At 45.9% G+C, this 17,825-nt stretch overlaps 1 protein-coding gene across 11 annotated transcripts in view, besides 2 other annotated features; it reads left to right on the top strand.

The window, feature by feature from the left end:
• Positions 8,220–8,829: a silencer, noted in NCBI's record as "silent region_11846". NCBI's record gives its function as "represses an Ori minimal core promoter by ATAC-STARR-seq in GM12878 lymphoblastoid cells {active_cell/tissue: GM12878}" and the evidence as "EXISTENCE:reporter gene assay evidence [ECO:0000049][PMID:35858748]".
• UXS1 (UDP-glucuronate decarboxylase 1) overlaps positions 8,302–17,825 on the top strand; it is a 100,991-nt gene continuing 91,467 nt past the window's right edge. For 8 of the 11 annotated variants that reach the window (NR_045607.2, NR_165308.1, NM_001377505.1 and 5 more), the window contains exon 1: positions 8,302–8,455. Coding sequence is in view for 9 of the 11 variants with exons in the window: in NM_001377505.1 (NP_001364434.1) it covers positions 8,362–8,455 (94 nt within the window). In the remaining 2 variants the exon portion in view is untranslated. Of the gene's footprint in view, positions 9,406–17,825 lie in introns of all 11 variants that reach the window. The other 3 variants (XM_011511903.3, XM_011511902.3, XM_047445918.1) reach the window with 2 other exon arrangements.
• Positions 9,160–9,209: an enhancer, noted in NCBI's record as "active region_16339". NCBI's record gives its function as "activates an Ori minimal core promoter by ATAC-STARR-seq in GM12878 lymphoblastoid cells {active_cell/tissue: GM12878}" and the evidence as "EXISTENCE:reporter gene assay evidence [ECO:0000049][PMID:35858748]".

Here is a 17,825-nt window from a genome sequence, read left to right as displayed (position 1 = left end):
TACCTCCTCTGCTTTTTGACTCAATTTGGGCACCTTCCACCTTCCCTGATGCTGTCCTTGACTGTAGGACCAGACAGTGAAGTGGAGGTGGAGGACATGAAGAAGAGGACTATTTCATGTCAGTTTTTTTCATGTACCAGCTGCTTGTCTGCTCAAAGTACCTTTGAGCAGTTAGAACTTTAAATTAGAATTGGTTAAGTTAGAATTGATTGTGCACCAGAAACCCCAAATCTAATTGCTGTAACTCCATAGCCCCAGATGCATATAGGGAAGCCATTTCTTTCTATCTTTTCCCCTACCTTCTCATTACATCACTACATCCTACCTTCACTGCTGACTACATACACCATGTTTAGTTGTGCAGGTTGTGCACTGACTGAAGGCACAATATCACAGAAATATATATATATATATATATATATATATATATATATATAAAATATATGCACACACATACATGCATGTGTATATATACAGATCTATATCATAACAATTTCCAGAAAGAAGTAAAGAAGGTACATTGAGGAAAGGGAGCCTTTTCCTGCTCCCTATCAAAATATCATAATGGCCTAGCAGTAGCTCTGCCTTTCAAGATCCCATGCTTGCATACCTTAAGATATCATAAGGTCTGAAAAGTATGACTTAGTAGTGGCTGATACCTAATTCACAATTAACTGGTTAATTCACTATTGCCTTATCATACAGTGGATTGCGCAAAGCCCTAGGTCAGTTTTGAGGAACTCATTATGACTGGGCTCTCACACAGCTCATTGGTTATTTTAGTCTAGAATACAAGACCAGCCTTAGACTAGACAAGGAAGGAATTGCCTACATTATATGATATGGAGGCTTTTGTTCAAAACTATCTCCTCCATTGGCAGTTTTAGTACATAAAAATTCATGATGAAATTATTGAACTGGAGGGAACTTGCCGATAGAACCATGAAAACCATGAATCATAGGTTCCCCCCCAGTCCCTGTCCCACCCTGTTGAAACCACACAGGCATTACCAATATCACAGCACTTTCCTGTTGTGTCTGGATGCCCTTCCTAATTCAGAGCTTCAGGCAACCCCACGTTTCTCCTGGAGTGGGCAGGCATATAAGACCTATTTGTCAACTTTGAATTCTAGTCCAGGAGAATCATTAAAATACAAACACCTGGGAGGAAAAAAACTTTCAGTCTTCACTAACACCTCAGGAGGACCTGTCACCCCAGCATATGACATGAGAGTCTCATTTGATTACTCTTTCTCCCTGTTGATCTATACAATCAACCAGAATATCTGTCATTCAACTTCTAAAATAACCCTCAAAGTTATTCCTATGCCCTTTCCACCACAACTACTAGCTTTTCTCGCTCTTGTCCACTTGAATTGCTGCAGCAGCCTTCTATGCATGAGCTTCTCCTGAGACCGCTCCCACTCCAGCCGATGCTGCTGGAAAACCTGCCTGGATGATGGGAGCTACTGCTTGAGACAGACAGTCACACCCCACTGTCTGTAGACAAAAGGCCAGTCTCTTATCCTGGTCAGGTTTAAGAAAATATTTTAAGGGTCTTTGGTGCGTCTTAGGGAGGGAACTGGATTTTGTTAGAAAACACTTTTATTAGCAGGTATAGATGAGGAAGGTAAGTCCTTCATGGGTATGGACAAAACAAGGGAAGACAAACTGCACAGCACAGGAATGAATAGGAGTTCCAGAGTTGGGGTGGGATGCAAGGTTGTGGGGAGAGCAGAGGAGAGGAAAGGGGTGTGTGTGTGTGTGTGTGTGTGTGTGTGTGTGTGTGAAGGGAAAGGATAGAAATCTGCATAGATGCCATCCCGTGGTCAAAGAAACAAATGACACTGCTATACGTGTGTACTGGAATCGAATGATTTAGTAAACGGATGGCAGATGGTGGGAGCCAGGTTTAGGGAGATGATCCTAAAATGATCCATGTGGCAATGTATTAGAGTTGGAGACCTCAGTAGGAACTCCTGTTTATAGATATAGATTATCTATAGATATATTTGTTGCTATGTGTATATAAAAAGGTTAGTGCACATACACATATTTCTTTGCTCTATGAGCTAAGAACACCTAGAAGCAACAACACTCCAGTAGCACTAGCACACCTAGTACCCAAATCTTGGTTTCCAATACTATTCTCCAATAAAAGAAAACAGGGATCTTGGAGAAATGGCCGATTCTAGGACTGGGGCAGGAAATATACAAGATGAGTCTGGAGTTTCTTGTGAGTGCCAGAAAGTAAGAAAATGCTAAGACAAAAACAATAACCTAGAAACTCCACAATGATGGGAGTATGTCAAAGGGGCACAGAAGCCAAACAAAAGAGCTTCCTATAACATACACTGGCAGAATTTGAGTGATAAAATTAATAAAGTAGTACTGTATTATAACTCCAAGTATAAAATAAATATCCATGAGTCTATACTGATATAAATAAATGACGGAACAAATTAACAAAGGGAGAGAAGAGACAAACTCCTGTGCAGTAGAATTCCAAAGAATTTATGCAGATTCTCCACCCTCAAGGAAGGAAAGCATGATGCCCCACTCCCTGATTGTGGGCTGCATATAGTGAATTCCTTCCAAAGAGTACAGTATGGAAAGGGGTTAAAGAATAATTTTCCAGTGGAGAAACTTGATAAATACTACCTCAGTTGGCATTGATCTGATCAAGGTCCACATCAGCAGTCACAAATCATGTTGATAGTGTGAACTGTTGGTATGAAGTGATAAAAGTCCCATACAGATGCAAGATATTAATAATAGGGGAAAAATGGTATGGGGTATGTGGGAACTCTTTGCACCATCTTCTCAATTTTTCCATAATATAAAGCCTTCTAAAAAATAAAGTATATTTTTAAAAAAGACTCAAGAATGGGAATGTTAGATAAGCAATTTTAAGTTATTTATGATGCTATATTAAACCCATCTGTCTGCCTAAACCAGTAAGAAGATCTAGCATACTCACTCATCCTGGGGTGATGGTATGTTGGGAAATAAAGCAACAGGGCAGCAAGGCCTTGCATCTATCCTTCTCCTGAGACCCTAGGAAAGAGAAACATATGCTCCAGAAAGGGACTCCAATACACGCAGGGTTGTCACTACCAACAGGAAAACTTATGTGGCCATGGCACAGCTGGCATGGCAGGGAGGAGCAGCTTCATGGCAGGCACCTCAGGAGGAGGTCTGAGACCAAGCCTTCTTTCTCACCTTCATCAGAGGAGGATGTGAGGATGTATCAATTGAGATCTAGTCAGGAAAACTATTGTTAAGTATTTCAAACAGGAAAAATTTAATATAGGGGTTTGGTTCCAAAGATGCTGGCAGGGTTAAGAAGCACCAAAGGGAGAAGAGAGATTCTGAAGAAGCAAAAATGAAAGAAGTGATGCCCAGAGATCAGAAGCTGTCAGCTGCAGATCAGCTGAGAAGAGGGGCCTTGATAACAGGGGTCAACTTCTGAAAAGATGTTGCCTCCCTGGGGCTGCTGAGTCCAGAATCACCCCATCCTCACTGCAGCAAGTGCCAGCAACTATCAGCAGCCACTAGCCATGGCCACGCTAGAAGAACTGACACAGAAGCATCTCTCCTCTCCCCATTGATCTTCCTCCGGGGCCCTTTCTTGGCAGAGCATAATGCGAAGCCTGGAAGATGCAGTGACACAAGCTAGGCCCAGCAGTGTTCAGAGTAGAGTGCAAAGATGAAGATGGAGGCTGACACTGCTAGTGAGTAGCCAGGAAAGAAAGTAACCCTTGATGAGGGTGTGATTGATGCCTAGTTTATACTAACCCTTATGGCCTTCCTTTCCAACATTATTTACACCTTCACTTCTTTTTTTTTTTTTTTTTTTTTTTTTTGTGATGGAGTCTCACTCTACCAACATGGCTGGAGTGCAGTGATGCGATCTCGGCTCACTGCAACCTCTGCCTCCCAGATTCAAGTGATTCTCCTGCCTCAGCCTCCCTAGCAACTGGGATTACAGGTGCCCACCACCATGCCCAGCTAATTTTTGTATTTTTAGTAGAGATGGGGTTTCACCATGTTGGCCAGGCTGGTCTCGAACTCCTGACCTCAGATGATCCACCTGCCTCAGCCTCCCAAAGTGTTGGGATTGCAGGTGTGAGCCACCACGCCTGGCCAATATACCTTCGTTTCTTGTTCTCTGCTCCTCCTGCCAGAGATCCCCACTATTTCCTATGGCAACCTTTCACTCCCCAGCATCCTTGCCTTTGCTATTTCCTTAGGGATGCCCCTGCCCAAGATGTATGAGTCCAAATCCTATACTACATCCTTTCAAATTCAGCTCACGTAGGTCCTGCTCTGCAAAGCTTTCTCTCTCTCACTGTTCTCATCTGCAAGCAGAAGTATGCTAGTTAAAAGAAAAAAAAAAAAAAAGAATCCCTGGTATGTAGCAATTGCGTTATTTCCATGGTGCAAATAATCCCAGAGGAACAGTTGCTAACTGTCAGCTCTTGTGAGCCTGTCAGCTGGTCCCGGCATGGCAAACCACAGTCCATGACCTGGAAGCATACCTTCCTGTTGTGAAATTCCTTAGCCATTCATGCGACCCTGTCCCACAGTGACCACTCACCACATTTTGCTATGAGTGATAGTCATTTCTGTGCAAGTCTGCACTCAACTCCAGAAAAGCATCCTCACACAGGGAAAATCATGGCTTAAAATTCCAGCCCTACACTCCCAGCTCTGTGACTGGTAACCCTGTTACTTACCAAGCCAAGTAACTGGTAACCCTGCCACCTACCAAGTGTTGGGACACTTATCAAATGTTCAGAGCCTCAGTTTCCTCATCTATTAATGACAGCAGCAATGTAAATCAGTACAGCCCTTAAGGAAGACCGTATAGAAGTTCCCAAAAAAATTAAACACACAACTACCTTATGAGCCAAAAATTCCACTTCTGGGTAATGTACCCAAAAGAACTGAAAGTGGGGTCTTAAAGAGATATTTGTACACCTGTGTTCACAGCAGCATTATTCACAATACCCAAAAGGTGGAAGCAAACTAGTTTTAGCTATTCCACCATCTATACATATATTAAAACCTCATATGATACATCATAAATATATACAATTTTTGTTGATTTAAAAATTAATTTAAAATTTTTTTTTTTTTTTTTTTTTTTAAAGAGCAGCAACAATGGCAACCCTGCCCCACAGGGCTGTTGCAAGAATTAAATGAGTGTGTTAGTAGTTTTCACACTGCTATAAAGAACTGCTGGAGACTAGCTAATTTATAAAGGAAAGAGGTTTAATGGACTCACAGTTCCGCATGGCTGGGGAGGCCTCAGGAAACTTACAATCATGGCAGAGGGTGAAGGGGAAGCAAGGACCTTCCTCATATGGCGGCAGGGGAGAGGAGAGAAATGCCGTGAAGGAGAAACTTCCAAACACTTTTAAAACCGGCCGGGTGTGGTGGCTCACACCTGTAATCCCAGCACATTGGGAGGCCAAGGCGGGTGGATTACCTGAGGTCAGGAGTTCAAGACCAGCCTGACCAACATGGTGAAACCCCATCTCTACTAAAAATACAAAAATTAGCCAGGCGTGGTGGCGGGCGCCTGTAATCCCAGCTACTTGGGAGGCTGAGGCAGGATGATCACTTGAACCCGGGAGGCAGAGGTTGCAGTAAGCTGAGATTGTGCCATTGCACTCCAGCCTGGGCAACAGAGTGAGACCCCGTCTCAAAAAAAAAAATGCCATTGGCTGTCATGAGAACTCCCTTACCATCATGAGAACAGCATAGGGAAAACCACCTCCATGATCCAATCACCTCTCATCAGGTCCTTCCCTTGACATGTGGGGATTACAATTTGGGTGGGGACATAGAGCCAAACCATATCAATGAGGTAACAATGAAAGTGCATTGCATAACAGTCCCTGGCACATTGTAGAGGTTTATAAATGTTAATTTTCTCCACTCCTTAGGCTTTAAACACTTTAGAAGTCATATTACAATTCATTTTTTAATTACCCTGAGTGTCAAAAACACTACCTTTGTAACTTGTTCAAAAATATGTAATCGCTCAAAAATATTGTTGTTAACCTATCCACTGGAAATATGAGGGGGTTGACAGTAAGGGGAGGGAGCAGGGAGGGATGAGCCCAGAACCTGCGGGGGAAGTGGGGATGGGCTGGGAAGAAACAAGGGGGTCTGGGAAGAAACAAGAGAGGCAAGGAGCACAGGGAAATGGTGCTGCCTACGCCCAAGATCCCCGGAGGAGCTTGGAGGGTCTCTTTGGCATCTCCCTCCCTCAGGCCTTCTTACCTCCACTGGGTGCACACTTACTATTGCTTACTTTTTAATTCTGGCTGCGGCTGAGCAAGACACCAGTGTCCTGGGACACCAACCGCCTTCTGGGTGGCAATAATGACAGCAGCAGCTATTTCAACTGCAGCTGCTAACGGTATTTCCATATACTTAATCCCACAGGGCAGAAGTTGGCAGTAGTGTCCAGCAGCAGAAAAAAATGCTAACTGGGAATGCTGGGCTTAAGGAGTTTAGTACAGAAATGGCAAATACCCCACAATTTCTGACCTTTGTCGTCTAATAGGATACCTATCAACTAAACCCTACCTAAAACCTAAAATGCTTGAAATCCGCCTAGAAGCTTCAGTCTGATTTTGCCCATAGGTCAAATGTTAATGAACTATTATTTTCTTCCATTTCTGCTCCTCATCTTTAATCTAAAAACCACGGAGTCATGGAATGGGAAAGGCCTAGAGCTCCACTTGCTCTAGTTCTCTTTTCAAAAACCATAGCCAGAAAGCCACGAGGAAATGCAGACTTACAAACAAAATCGATTTGTTCCAAACTGGTGTGCTCTGGGGGCCTGGCCCCTCTGGGAACCCAGGACTCAGGCTCCCATGCCAGGTGTTTTGTCACTTGGCAGCCTCCTTGGACACGTCAGAGTCAGGGAGCTGGGCTTCTCGAAAGAAGTCCACTCCATCTATGGGCAGCATGCATAGCAGGGGCAATCCGCCTTAGCAAACCGCTCAGTGTTTCCTCCTAGTCAGGGATTCTCAACAGGTTTAGGGGAGGGGTAGGATGGAGGTAGGTTTTATCAGAATCACATCATTTGCACTATAGTTTGAAAGATGTAACATAAAGCTGCTGCTTTAGTACCAGCTGCCATATTTCCTTTTCTTGGAGGTTTCTAATAAATCTAAAGGAGGGTGATCTATTAAGTTTTGCAAAATGGCCTGAGGTTCCAAGAGGTAGGAGAGCCGCTGCTGACTTCAACTTCTCCGTATAGCTGAAGATGACCTCTTGAAGCCTGCAGATCCCAAATCCGGGATCTCTCTTAATGTGGCATCACACACATCTGTGTGTACCTGTCTTTTTTTCCTCCATGGGACCAGCTCTCTCCAGATCCAATGACAAGCTTCCGATTATCTGTGGATCTTCTGATACATCTCCTTGCTTGTAATCATCATTCAGTAAATGCTTTTTAAACACAGGTACCTCCTATGCAATCAGTACAGCACTCATAAAACAGATATACTCAACAAAAAGATTGAATGAAACACACACGACAACATGGTCAGGGTTTTTCTCTAGGCAGAGACAGCGCAATTTCATCTTTTCTTTTCCAAGTCTATCCTAAATTAATATACTTAGCACTGCTTTTTAAAATAATAATAAAAGACTATTATTAAAACAAAGGCACCCCAGTTGATCATAGCCAAGGAAAAAAAACGCAGCCAGTTTTTACTTCGGCAAGGTTTAGGGGATTTATCATTTTCGCTGCCGATATTCTAACTAAAAAAAGCCAACTAAACAGCCCAGAGAACGAGGCAACTTTCTGAGGCAGGCATTCAACTTCTAAGGCTCGGCCAAGTTTAGCAAATAAGTTTCGTTTCACTGCAACACCGGAATGCCCACCGCGTGCCCCCCTCCGGGCGGGGCTCGGAAACTGGCCACTGCAGTCGTGCCCTTGGGTTGGGGACGCACCTCAGCGAAACGAATCCAGCCGCACCTCCCGGCTGGCACCCGCGCGCTTTAACTCAGGGAAAACAGACCGGAACGCGCATGCGCCGCGGCGCGCCGCACCGCCCACCAGCCCTCCAGGTCACATTCTTCGAAAACCAAGGCAAGAAAGGCGGCAACTGCGCCTGCGGGTAGAGAAGCCGGAGGGGCGGGGGCGGAGCCGGAGGAAGGGGGTGGAGGCGCGCCTGCGCGGTGATCCCGCCAGCAGGAAGCAGGCGCGCGGGGGCGGGGGCGCGCGGCGGCAGGAGGCGGGGCTCTCGGGGCCGCTGCCGCCGCCGCCGCCGCGCATTGTGCAGCAGGCGGGCCCCCGCGCGGTAGGGCCCTGGACCCGCGCGGCTCCCGGGGATGGTGAGCAAGGCGCTGCTGCGCCTCGTGTCTGCCGTCAACCGCAGGAGGATGAAGCTGCTGCTGGGCATCGCCTTGCTGGCCTACGTCGCCTGTGAGTGCGCGCCCGCTGCCAGCTGGGGAGCCCCATTCATTCCCCGGCGCCGCGGTGGGCCGGGCGGCGGTGGTTCGGGGCCCCGAGGCGGCCCTGCAGCCCCGCGTTGCTCCCCGCCCCGGGCGGGGCCGGCGCTTTCTGCTCCCACCCCTTTCCACTCTTGCAGCAAAGCGGGCCAACTTGGGCGCACACCCCCTACCGCTTAGGCCCGGGCGCGGACCCCGGGCGGAGGGGCCCCTAGCAGTCCTCGGGCGGCCCCAGGTCTCTGCCTCCTGCCCGGGCGCGGGGGACTCGGCGGCGGCGCTGTCGTCCATGTCGCGCTGGGAGCCGGCGAGGGTCCCGGTCGGGGACTCCGGAGCGTGCCGCGTGGGGATACCCTTGGGGACAGCCGAGGTCGCGCCGCGGTGTCGGTTAAGTCGGATAAAAATACTGTGGCCATTGGCAGAGCCCCCGCTCCGACTGTTTGCTCCTCAGGAAAATTACTCAGCGTTTAACTCTTGGGGAGCCAAGTGTGGGCGGCTCCCCGGCCCGCGGCCGTGCCCAGGTGTCGGGGCGCACCGGCATCCCCATTCTAGGTTTTCCCCCGGGGCTCGGCGGCCGGGCGAAGCAGGCAGGCAGCTGGGTGGCCGGGCAGGGCGTGCCTGCAGCTTCTCTGTGCGCGGGTCCAGTTTCTGTCATCGCTCACAGCATGCTGCCTGGAGACAGGGCAGGAGGGGCACTTCGCAGGCAGGTGGTCGGCCCTCTGCTTGTTAGGGAAGTCAGAAACCGTCCTTTTAAAGATCTATTCGTTGGGAATGTTTTAATTGATGCTATTAATACGTTACCAAGTAGCAAAATTGGACTAGAAATAGCTCCCAGTGTGAGCTGCGTTTGAATGCTAGCCACCCAGACACACACTGAAATGAAATCACCTGCTAACCTGTTGGCGTTACCAAGATCTGATTCCAGAGGTGAGTGGGTACTTCACTTGTCTGAAGTGACTTCAGTTGAGCTCTAGGAAGGCAAGTATGAGTAGATCCAGCCTGTGTGCTACAGCCCAGCTGTTCAGGAGGTGGAGCTGGAAAACCCCAGCAGGACTCCGGGTTGCTAGGGGAGGTTTCAGGCGTCGGATGGGTGTTAGATGTGTGTAGTTTTGCAAGGGAGGAAGAACTAGTCTAAAGTGTGTGTGTGGTCAATCTTGAGTAAGAAAGCTGAGACCCAAGAGGAAAGACCATTTAAAGTTGAATAACTATTATTATGGCAGTAATACTACCTACATTTGTTGAGTGCTTAACTGTGTGAGTCATGATTCTTAGTGCCATTGTCTCAATCATTGAGCAACCCTGGGAAATCGGTACTATAATGATTCCTATTTTAGAGGTGAGGAAGTTAAGGCCAAGAGAGATTAGGAAATTTATGGATGATCACACAGATAGTAAGAGAAGGAGGGCCAAAATTTGAACCCAGAAAGGCCTGGGAGCAGGAGCTAGAACCCAGGTCTTCGAACAGCAGTTTCAATGTTTATTTTGGGGGTATTCTATAGTCGCTGCAAGGGTTTAGAATTAATAAAGTAGGGGATTTATGGAGCCATGGGAAGTTTTTTTTTTTTTTTTGAGACGGAGTCTCGCTCTGTTCAGCCCAGGCTGGAGTGCAGGGGCGCGATCTCGGCTCACTGCACGCTCCACCTCCCGGGTTCACGCCATTCTCCTGCCTCAGCCTCCCAAGTAACTGGGACTACAGGCACCCGCCACCACGCCCGGCTAATTTTTTGTATTTTTAGTAGAGACGGGGTTTCACCATGTTAGCCAGGATGGTCTCGATCTCCTGACCTCGTGATCCGCCTGCCTCGGCCTCCCAAAGTGCTGGGATTACAGGCGTAAGCCACCGCTCCCAGCAGGAAAGTTTTTTAACCAATCATTCATCTGACCAGGAAATCTTACCAAGTCCTTACTGTTGTCCCTGAATTTGGCACTAGGAGACACCATGGGGTGCTAAAACTTAACTGGTCTGTGCTGTGATGGTACAGACCCTATACCACATAGTGTAGCACGTTGATTCTCAGACTTAAGCATGCATCAGAATCAGTAGGGTTTTTTTTAAAAAACACAGACTGCTTGTCTCCCACCTCAAGTTTCTGATTCAGTTGGTCTGGGATGTGGCCTGAGAATCTGCATCACTAATAGGTTGTTCTGTATGCTGTTGCTGTGACCTGACACCACTTTGAGACCCACTGGCCAAGATGGTGAGGTGGGCATGAATTGGAAATGAAGGTTAAATTACAAACTGGTGTGAGGAAAAGGAATGCATGAGAACTATGCCAGGAACTCCTGAGTGAGAGCAATCAGGTACGTTTGTTTTGTTGAGGAATCAAAAGTGAGCTGAGAATGGACGGCTTATGTAGGAGTTAACAGGGAAGTCATAGGAGAGAGCGTGTTCTAGGAGGAGCAGTGTGTGCAGAGGTCCTGCGGCAGCCAAGAGCAGGCAGTATTCTAGGAATGCAAAGAAGGATGGTATTGTTGGAGTGTGAAAACAAAATTACAGCCATGAGGCTGCCCAGGCAGACAGGGGCCAGAGCAGGCAAGCAGGCAGGCAGGCCTGGGGTGCAGCCCACGACATGGTTGATTTTAGCTATGAGGGGTTTAACACAGGGTGGAGGCAGTGTTAATAAGGAGCAGGTATGCTAAGTCTGAGCCACTCTGCAGGGAAAAATGTTACAGGGCTTGTGATTGATAACACCGAAGGACACTGAAAATGTAGTCCCTCAACCGTGATGTCTGTGTTTTCTAATCTCTGCTTTTCCTAATTAGTAATCTTGCCCTCCCTGTTACAAGTAAAATCTCACCACTGTTTGAAAAAACTGTCCATACTTCCCAATTATATACACCCTCACTGTTAGCCAGCCTCCGTTGCAGAAATGCCCTCCCTGTTTCGGGAACAGAACTCAAGTTCTGTTAGCCTTTCTCCTTCTCCTCCTTACATCTTTCCCAAAGTCTTTGTTACCTACTCTGGCCCTGAGTCTCCTCCTTGATACCACATAACTCTTCTTCATGTCTTAGGGTTGACCACCTGCTAACTTGCATTGTACTTGAGTTCTTTCCCATTCATATGTTGGCTTTTTTTTCTCAATGAAATCCCGATTCTGAGGACAGGGATTGTGTCTTATGTGTTTCAGCCCTTGAAACATTTATAGCAGTGCTAATGGCTCATTGAAAGAACTCAGTTTCTGCCCTTTGTGCTGAATCAAAAATCAGGCCAACCTACTAGGTAGCTCCTGGGCAGACTGCTTGAATTACCTTTAACGTATTTTTTTTTAACATGCATATAGTGTAAAAAGTTAAATAGCTTCTGCAGGGCCAAACAGTATCCCCTGCCACCATTTCCCTCTCCCCAGAAGCAGGCACTTCATTTCTTTTTTTTTTTTTTTTGATACAGAGTTTCGCTTTTGTTGCCCAGGCTGGAGTGCAGTGGCGTGATTTCGGCTCACTGCAACCTTGGCCTCTTGGGTTCAAGCGATTCTCCTGCCTCAGCCTCCTGAGTAGCTGGGATTACAGGCATGCGCCACCACGCCCGGCTAATTTTGTATTTTTAGTAGAGACGGTTTCTCCATGTTGGTCAGGCTGGTCTCAAACTCCTGACCTCAGGTGATCTGCCTACCTCAGCCTCCCAAAGTGCTAGGATTGCAGGCGTGAGCCACCGCACCCAACCCCTAGGCATTTCACTTCTTTTAGTTGATTATTTTGGTATTTATCATTGTGCCATTGAATCACCTGGCTTCCTGATTTTTCAGTTGTAGATATTACCTAGTGACTTTGTTCTTTGGGAGATGATTTTTTTCTTCTCTTTGCCCCTGTACATGCTCTCCACCCTCCTATATAGATGTGGTATAATCTCACGGAGCTCATCATGCAGTGTTTACAAGCATGACTATGTAAATGCTGTTCCTAGTGAGTCATGTTGTAGGTTACTTTTTGTTTTCTCCAGCGAATAATTGGCTGGTGTTCTAATTTGCTTGCTTTCTATGTAGTATGACAGATCCAACTCCAAACTCTTTGCCAGTTGTCTGTCGCGTCTTCCCCCATGATGTTCATGAGCATCAGGATGCCCCTTGGTCAGCACCCCTTCCTGAAGAAGGGCCCCGGGGCCTTCTACTGCAACTTGTGGATACATCTGAGGGTCAGCTGCCAGCCTCACCACCTGCACCCACATCAGCCTGGACCTACCCACTGCAGGACTTCTGTTTCCTGACTTCCTCTTCCTGACTCCCTCTTGTTTCACTCCCTGGTTTGGATGTGATGGGAAGTGAATTCTGAGACTTTACCCATAAGTATATTTTCTGCCTTCATGTCTGATAGATTGATAGTGTAGAATTATAGAAAAAAAGTTCCTTTAGAATTTTTGAAGCATTGGTCCAATCCTTTTTGGCCTCCAGTATTGTTGAAGAATTTCAAGCCAGTCCTTCTCTTTCTGAAGATTGTAGCATCTTCCTTTCGGGTCTAGTTGTCAGTGCTCGCCACACATGTCCAGCCCCCTGTCCCCCAGGCTCTTGGTAGGATTGCCCTCCCTTCCTCACTCCCTGAGCTTGATGGCCTCACATGGTTGTTGTGCCAGTGGCCTGCCCAGGAGCTGAGCGGAAGTGCTACTTCCACTTCTGGGCCTGCACTTCGCTGCGAGTGTAAGTTGCTGCCAGAGTTTTCCTTCCCTCTAGTTAGGTTCTGAACTCAGCTTGACAATGATGATACTCAGCTTGCAGAACCCCCTCCCACCCATGCTATGACCCTGTTCGATTGAAATAAACTTGAAGAATAAATCTTGGTTGTTGTAGGCCTCTGAGGGCTTTTGGGCTGCTCATTGCTGTAGTTTAACAATGCCTGCCCTGACTGATACATCCGTGGTGTTCCAAGATCCACAGTGCTAGGCCTTGGTGTATTTTATCCAGCATGTTGGGCATTTTTTGTGCCCTGGCAATCCAGAAACACTTATTCTTCAGTTATGGGAATTTTCTTGAATTATTCTTTGGTGATTTTCTCCCCTCCCATTTTCTATTTCATCTCTTTCTGGGACTACTACTATTCTGATATAGGATTGCTGGACCAATCCTCTTATTTCCTATTTTCTACCATTTTAAGGTTGTTGCACTTTTGGGACGTCTCCTCATTTTTGTATTTAGACTCTTCTAGTGATTTTTTTACATTTTATTTTTGCCATACTTTTTCATGTATAAGAGTTCTTTTTTGTTCTGTGAACTTTTTTAAAAAACTAAAACATGGTCTTCATTTCATGGTATATTCTCTGGATTTTTAAAAAATTTGTTTTCTTTTCTCTTTACTGAAGGATCTCTTTCCTCTAGGCTGCCTTCCCGTTTCTGTGTGAGGCTCTCCTCAGATGGCCTGCCCATGTTTAAGAGTGGGGGACTCTGTAGGGATGGGCACTGCCTTCTGTGAGCTGAACCTTTCCTTGTTGGGGCCTTCTGACCTTAGTGCTGCGGGTTGGTCCTCCCGGGCTATTGTCACAAGACTCTCCCTGGTCCCTGCAGGAAGGGGAGGCTTGGCTGCCTGCATCCTGGAGCCCAGTGAGCGAGGGCTGTAGCCTAATCAGTAACCTGATTGTCCCAGGGGGATCTGGGCTCCTCTGTCAGAGACCCTGATTCCACCCTCTCCAGAGATGGAGCCACCTGTCTTCTGCCAGGGTGGGACAGGAGCTGGAACTTGTCCTGCTTCTTAGATGTCTTTGAAAATCAGACTTCCTGTCTCTGCTGCCTCCACACCCATTGCAGATGCTCCAGGCCTGGCCCAGTTCTTGACCCTAAGTATAAATGGGCCATTCCACTGCCCGCCCACGTCCGTGCCCTCTCCATGTCCCCATATTCACCTATCTTCTTTTTCCTATCCAGTAGCATTTTGGTGCCTGTTCTCCCTTCCCCTTCTCCCTGTCCACGTGGATTGATTCCTTAAACAAGAACAAAAAAGAAGTCAGGGAGGAGGGATATGGAGAGAGGGGCAGGGAGGAAAATAGATTGCCTATATTCAAAAAAAGAAAAGAAATCAAAGACAAAAGACATTTTCTGATGTTTTAGTCGGGTTTAGGAGCCATTATCTTTTCACCTTTAGCCTTTGAAAGTTAGAGTTAAGGCTGGTCGCGGTGGCTCATGCCTGTAATCCCAGCATTTTGGGAGGCCAAGGCAGGTGGATCACCTGAGATCGGGAGTTTGAGACCAGCCTGGCCAACATGGTGAAACCCCGTCTCTAGTAAAAATACAAAAAATTAGCTGGGCATGGTGGCGGGCGCCTGTAATCCCAGCAACTCAGGAGGCTGAGGCAGGAGAATCTCGTGAACCCGGAGGCGGAAATTGCAGTGGGCCAAGATCGTGCCATTGCACTCCAGCCTGGGCAACAAAAGCGAAACTCCATCTCAAAAAAAAAAAAAAAAGGAAATTACAGTTGTGACATTGTGACATCTAGTAACATTTATGTAATTTTTGGTGTATTGTGGATTTTGTTGTAGTGACATTTTAGTTGTGGTACCTTTCTTTCCTGTCAGTGTTACTTAACAAGAAAAGAGATAAAACCTGAAAACCATATGAAAGAGTGTTTTATGTGTCTTAGTTTTGTGTTTATGGTAATAGACTTCAAACTTCCCTGAGGTTGGGACTTTGGTTACGGTACAGTTTTGCCCTTAATATAATCAGCTCCCACATGATCGGCAATTGCCCTCATAAATTCATTCGGGACACAATTGTTAGCCTCTGCCTTGGAGGATGTGCAGCAAGTTAGATATCACTGTGACGCCAGAGGACCCTGGGGGACAGCAGACAGCTAAAATCCAACAACCTAGTACCGGTGGCATTCCCAGGCTGACCCGAGCGTGAGATCAGCTTGGGCTTGTCAAATGCAGGTTCCTAGGATCCTCCTAGGCCTGTAGGAGCCTGAGGGTTGGAGGCACAAGCTGGAAATTGTGAATTTTCAACATTTTCAAAATTTCCTTTCAGATTTTCTATCTTTTCTACTAAAAGAATATTTTAGTGAACACCCAAATACTCTCTGCCCAGATTCACCAGATGCCTACATTTTTTTCCACATTTTTCTTTTTCTTACTTTTTTTGTATATATTTTATATATACTTTTTTTGTTGAAATATTTGAAAGGTGCAGACGTAACAGTACTTCACCTTCAAGTACTTTACATATATCTCCTAAGAATAAAGGTATTCTTCTATATAATCTCATTACCATTATCACTCCCTAAAAATTAACAAAATAATATCTAAGATATAGTCTATATTTAAATTTCCCCCCATTGTACCATAAATGACTGTGATAGCCTTTCTGAGATTTTTTTTTTGCTTCTGTTTTTTTGAGACAGGGTTTCAATCTGTTGTCCATGCTGGAATGCAGTGGCATGATCTTAGTTCACTGCAGCCTCAAAATCCTGGACTCAGGTGATCCTCCTGCCTCAGGCTCCTGAGTAGCTGGGACTACAGGTGTGTGCCACCACAGCCAGCTAATTAAAAAATTTTTTTTTGTTTAGTTTAAAATCTAGGACCCAGTCAAGATTTACATGTTGCATTTGGTTTTATGCCTCTAAATTTCTGGAGCCATAGTAGCCTGATTTTTTTTTGTTTGTTTGATTGTTTCTCATAACATTTACCTATATATGTGTGTGTGTGTATATACATATTTACGTATATTCATGTATATGTGTGTGTGTGTGTGTGTATATATATATATATAAAAGCCCAGAGCAGTTTTCCTATAAATGTCCCACATTCTGGATTTGTCTGATTGTTTCCTTATGATTAAGTTCAGTTAAACATTTTTATAACAATGCTTGCTAATTGGTGTCGTTGGGAACATGTAGTGTCTGGGCTGGTCCCACTTGACACTGTTCAGTGTGACCCCTGGAAGGAATGGCCTCTATGCTGCTTCATTTTGAAGGTACATTTTTGCAGTATGCAATCTGTGGAGTGATTCTTGCCACCTGTGCGAATATCTTGTTCTCCAGCCAGTGCATTTCATGTCCATTGACGATCCTTGCCTGGACCGATTTTTCTGTTGGGGATTGCAGTTAGTGATTTTCTAATTTTGTAAATCTTTTGATAGTTATTAACTGGTGGTGTTTTGAAAAGAACTTTCCCTCCCTTTTTCTTCTCTCACTGTATTAGTTTCCCGTGGCTGCTGTAACAAATTACTCCAAATTAGGTGCCTTTGAAACAAGAGATATTTATTATTTCTAAATCTGGTGGCCAGAAGTCTGAAACCAAGGTGTTGGCAGGGCTGAGCTCCCTCGGAATGCTCCTCTGTGGCTCCAGGGTTTCTTGTCTTTTGCCTGCACTGCTCCAGCCTCTGCGGTGACATGGCCTCCTCCTTTTCTGTCTGCTAAATCTCTCCTGGGTGTTTCTTATAAGAACATTTGTCACTAGATTTAGAGCCCAACTGGATAATCCGGGATGATCTTTTTGTCTTGAGATCTTTAATTACAGCTAAAAAGACCTTTTTTCCAAGTAAGATAACAATCACAAATTCTAGGAATTGGAATGTGGACATATTTTAGGGGGCACCGTTAAACTCATGGTGATCTTTCTTTAATCACTGTGGACCCGTAGCTTCTTTTAGTCTTTGAGCACTTCCTTAATGTCTAGATGTTTCAGGCTCATTTTCTTTTTCTACCCCAAACCTGGAATCAGCCTTCTCTCCAAGGAGCCAGAATTGAATGGAATCATTGGCCACTTGCTTGGTGTCTAGAGAGTGGGAGAATTGGTTGGTAGTATGGGAAAAGCACACACACGTGGTATCAGAAGTGTTCTGTAGGTAGAAACAGGGTTTAAGACTTGGGCATCTTTATTTTCAACAATTTTCCCATTTTCCACCATAGTTCCTAAGAAAATGGACAAGGTAAAGTAGTCAAGGTAAAGTGCTGAGTACCATGAGAGAAATGAGATCTGGGACTTGGAGAGAATGGGATGCCCTTAAGACCTGGGGCATTGAGTTGGCATTTAGCAGAAGGATACAATTTGGGCAGTGGAGTTGAAGGTGAAAGTGATGGAATGAGCAGAGGCTGGAGTGACACAATGCCAGGAGCAGGAGTCTTTGTGGCCCATAAAGGCAGAATGTGGAAGTCTGACCTGACATAAACTTGATTTAATGACATGAGTAAGCCCTCCATAAGAATTTGTGCAGCATGAGAGAGATTTTGATGAACATGCCTGAAGTGTTCAGACATTAGGGCAGGGCAAAGTATAATCAGTTTTGCATTTTGGGGTTGGCCCGTGTGGCCTGAAATGTGCTTTGTGGTGTGCATGTCTCCTGAGCTGCCTACCTTTTGTAGATATGTGACTGGATTCTAGTCCTGGTATATGATATGTATGGTACTTCTGTACAGGCCAGTGCTGTGATCTG

Source organism: Homo sapiens, chromosome 2 (genome assembly GCF_000001405.40).
Source record: "Homo sapiens chromosome 2, GRCh38.p14 Primary Assembly".
NCBI classification, from domain to species: domain Eukaryota; kingdom Metazoa; phylum Chordata; class Mammalia; order Primates; family Hominidae; genus Homo; species Homo sapiens.
This window is presented reverse-complemented; position numbering and strand designations above follow the sequence as displayed.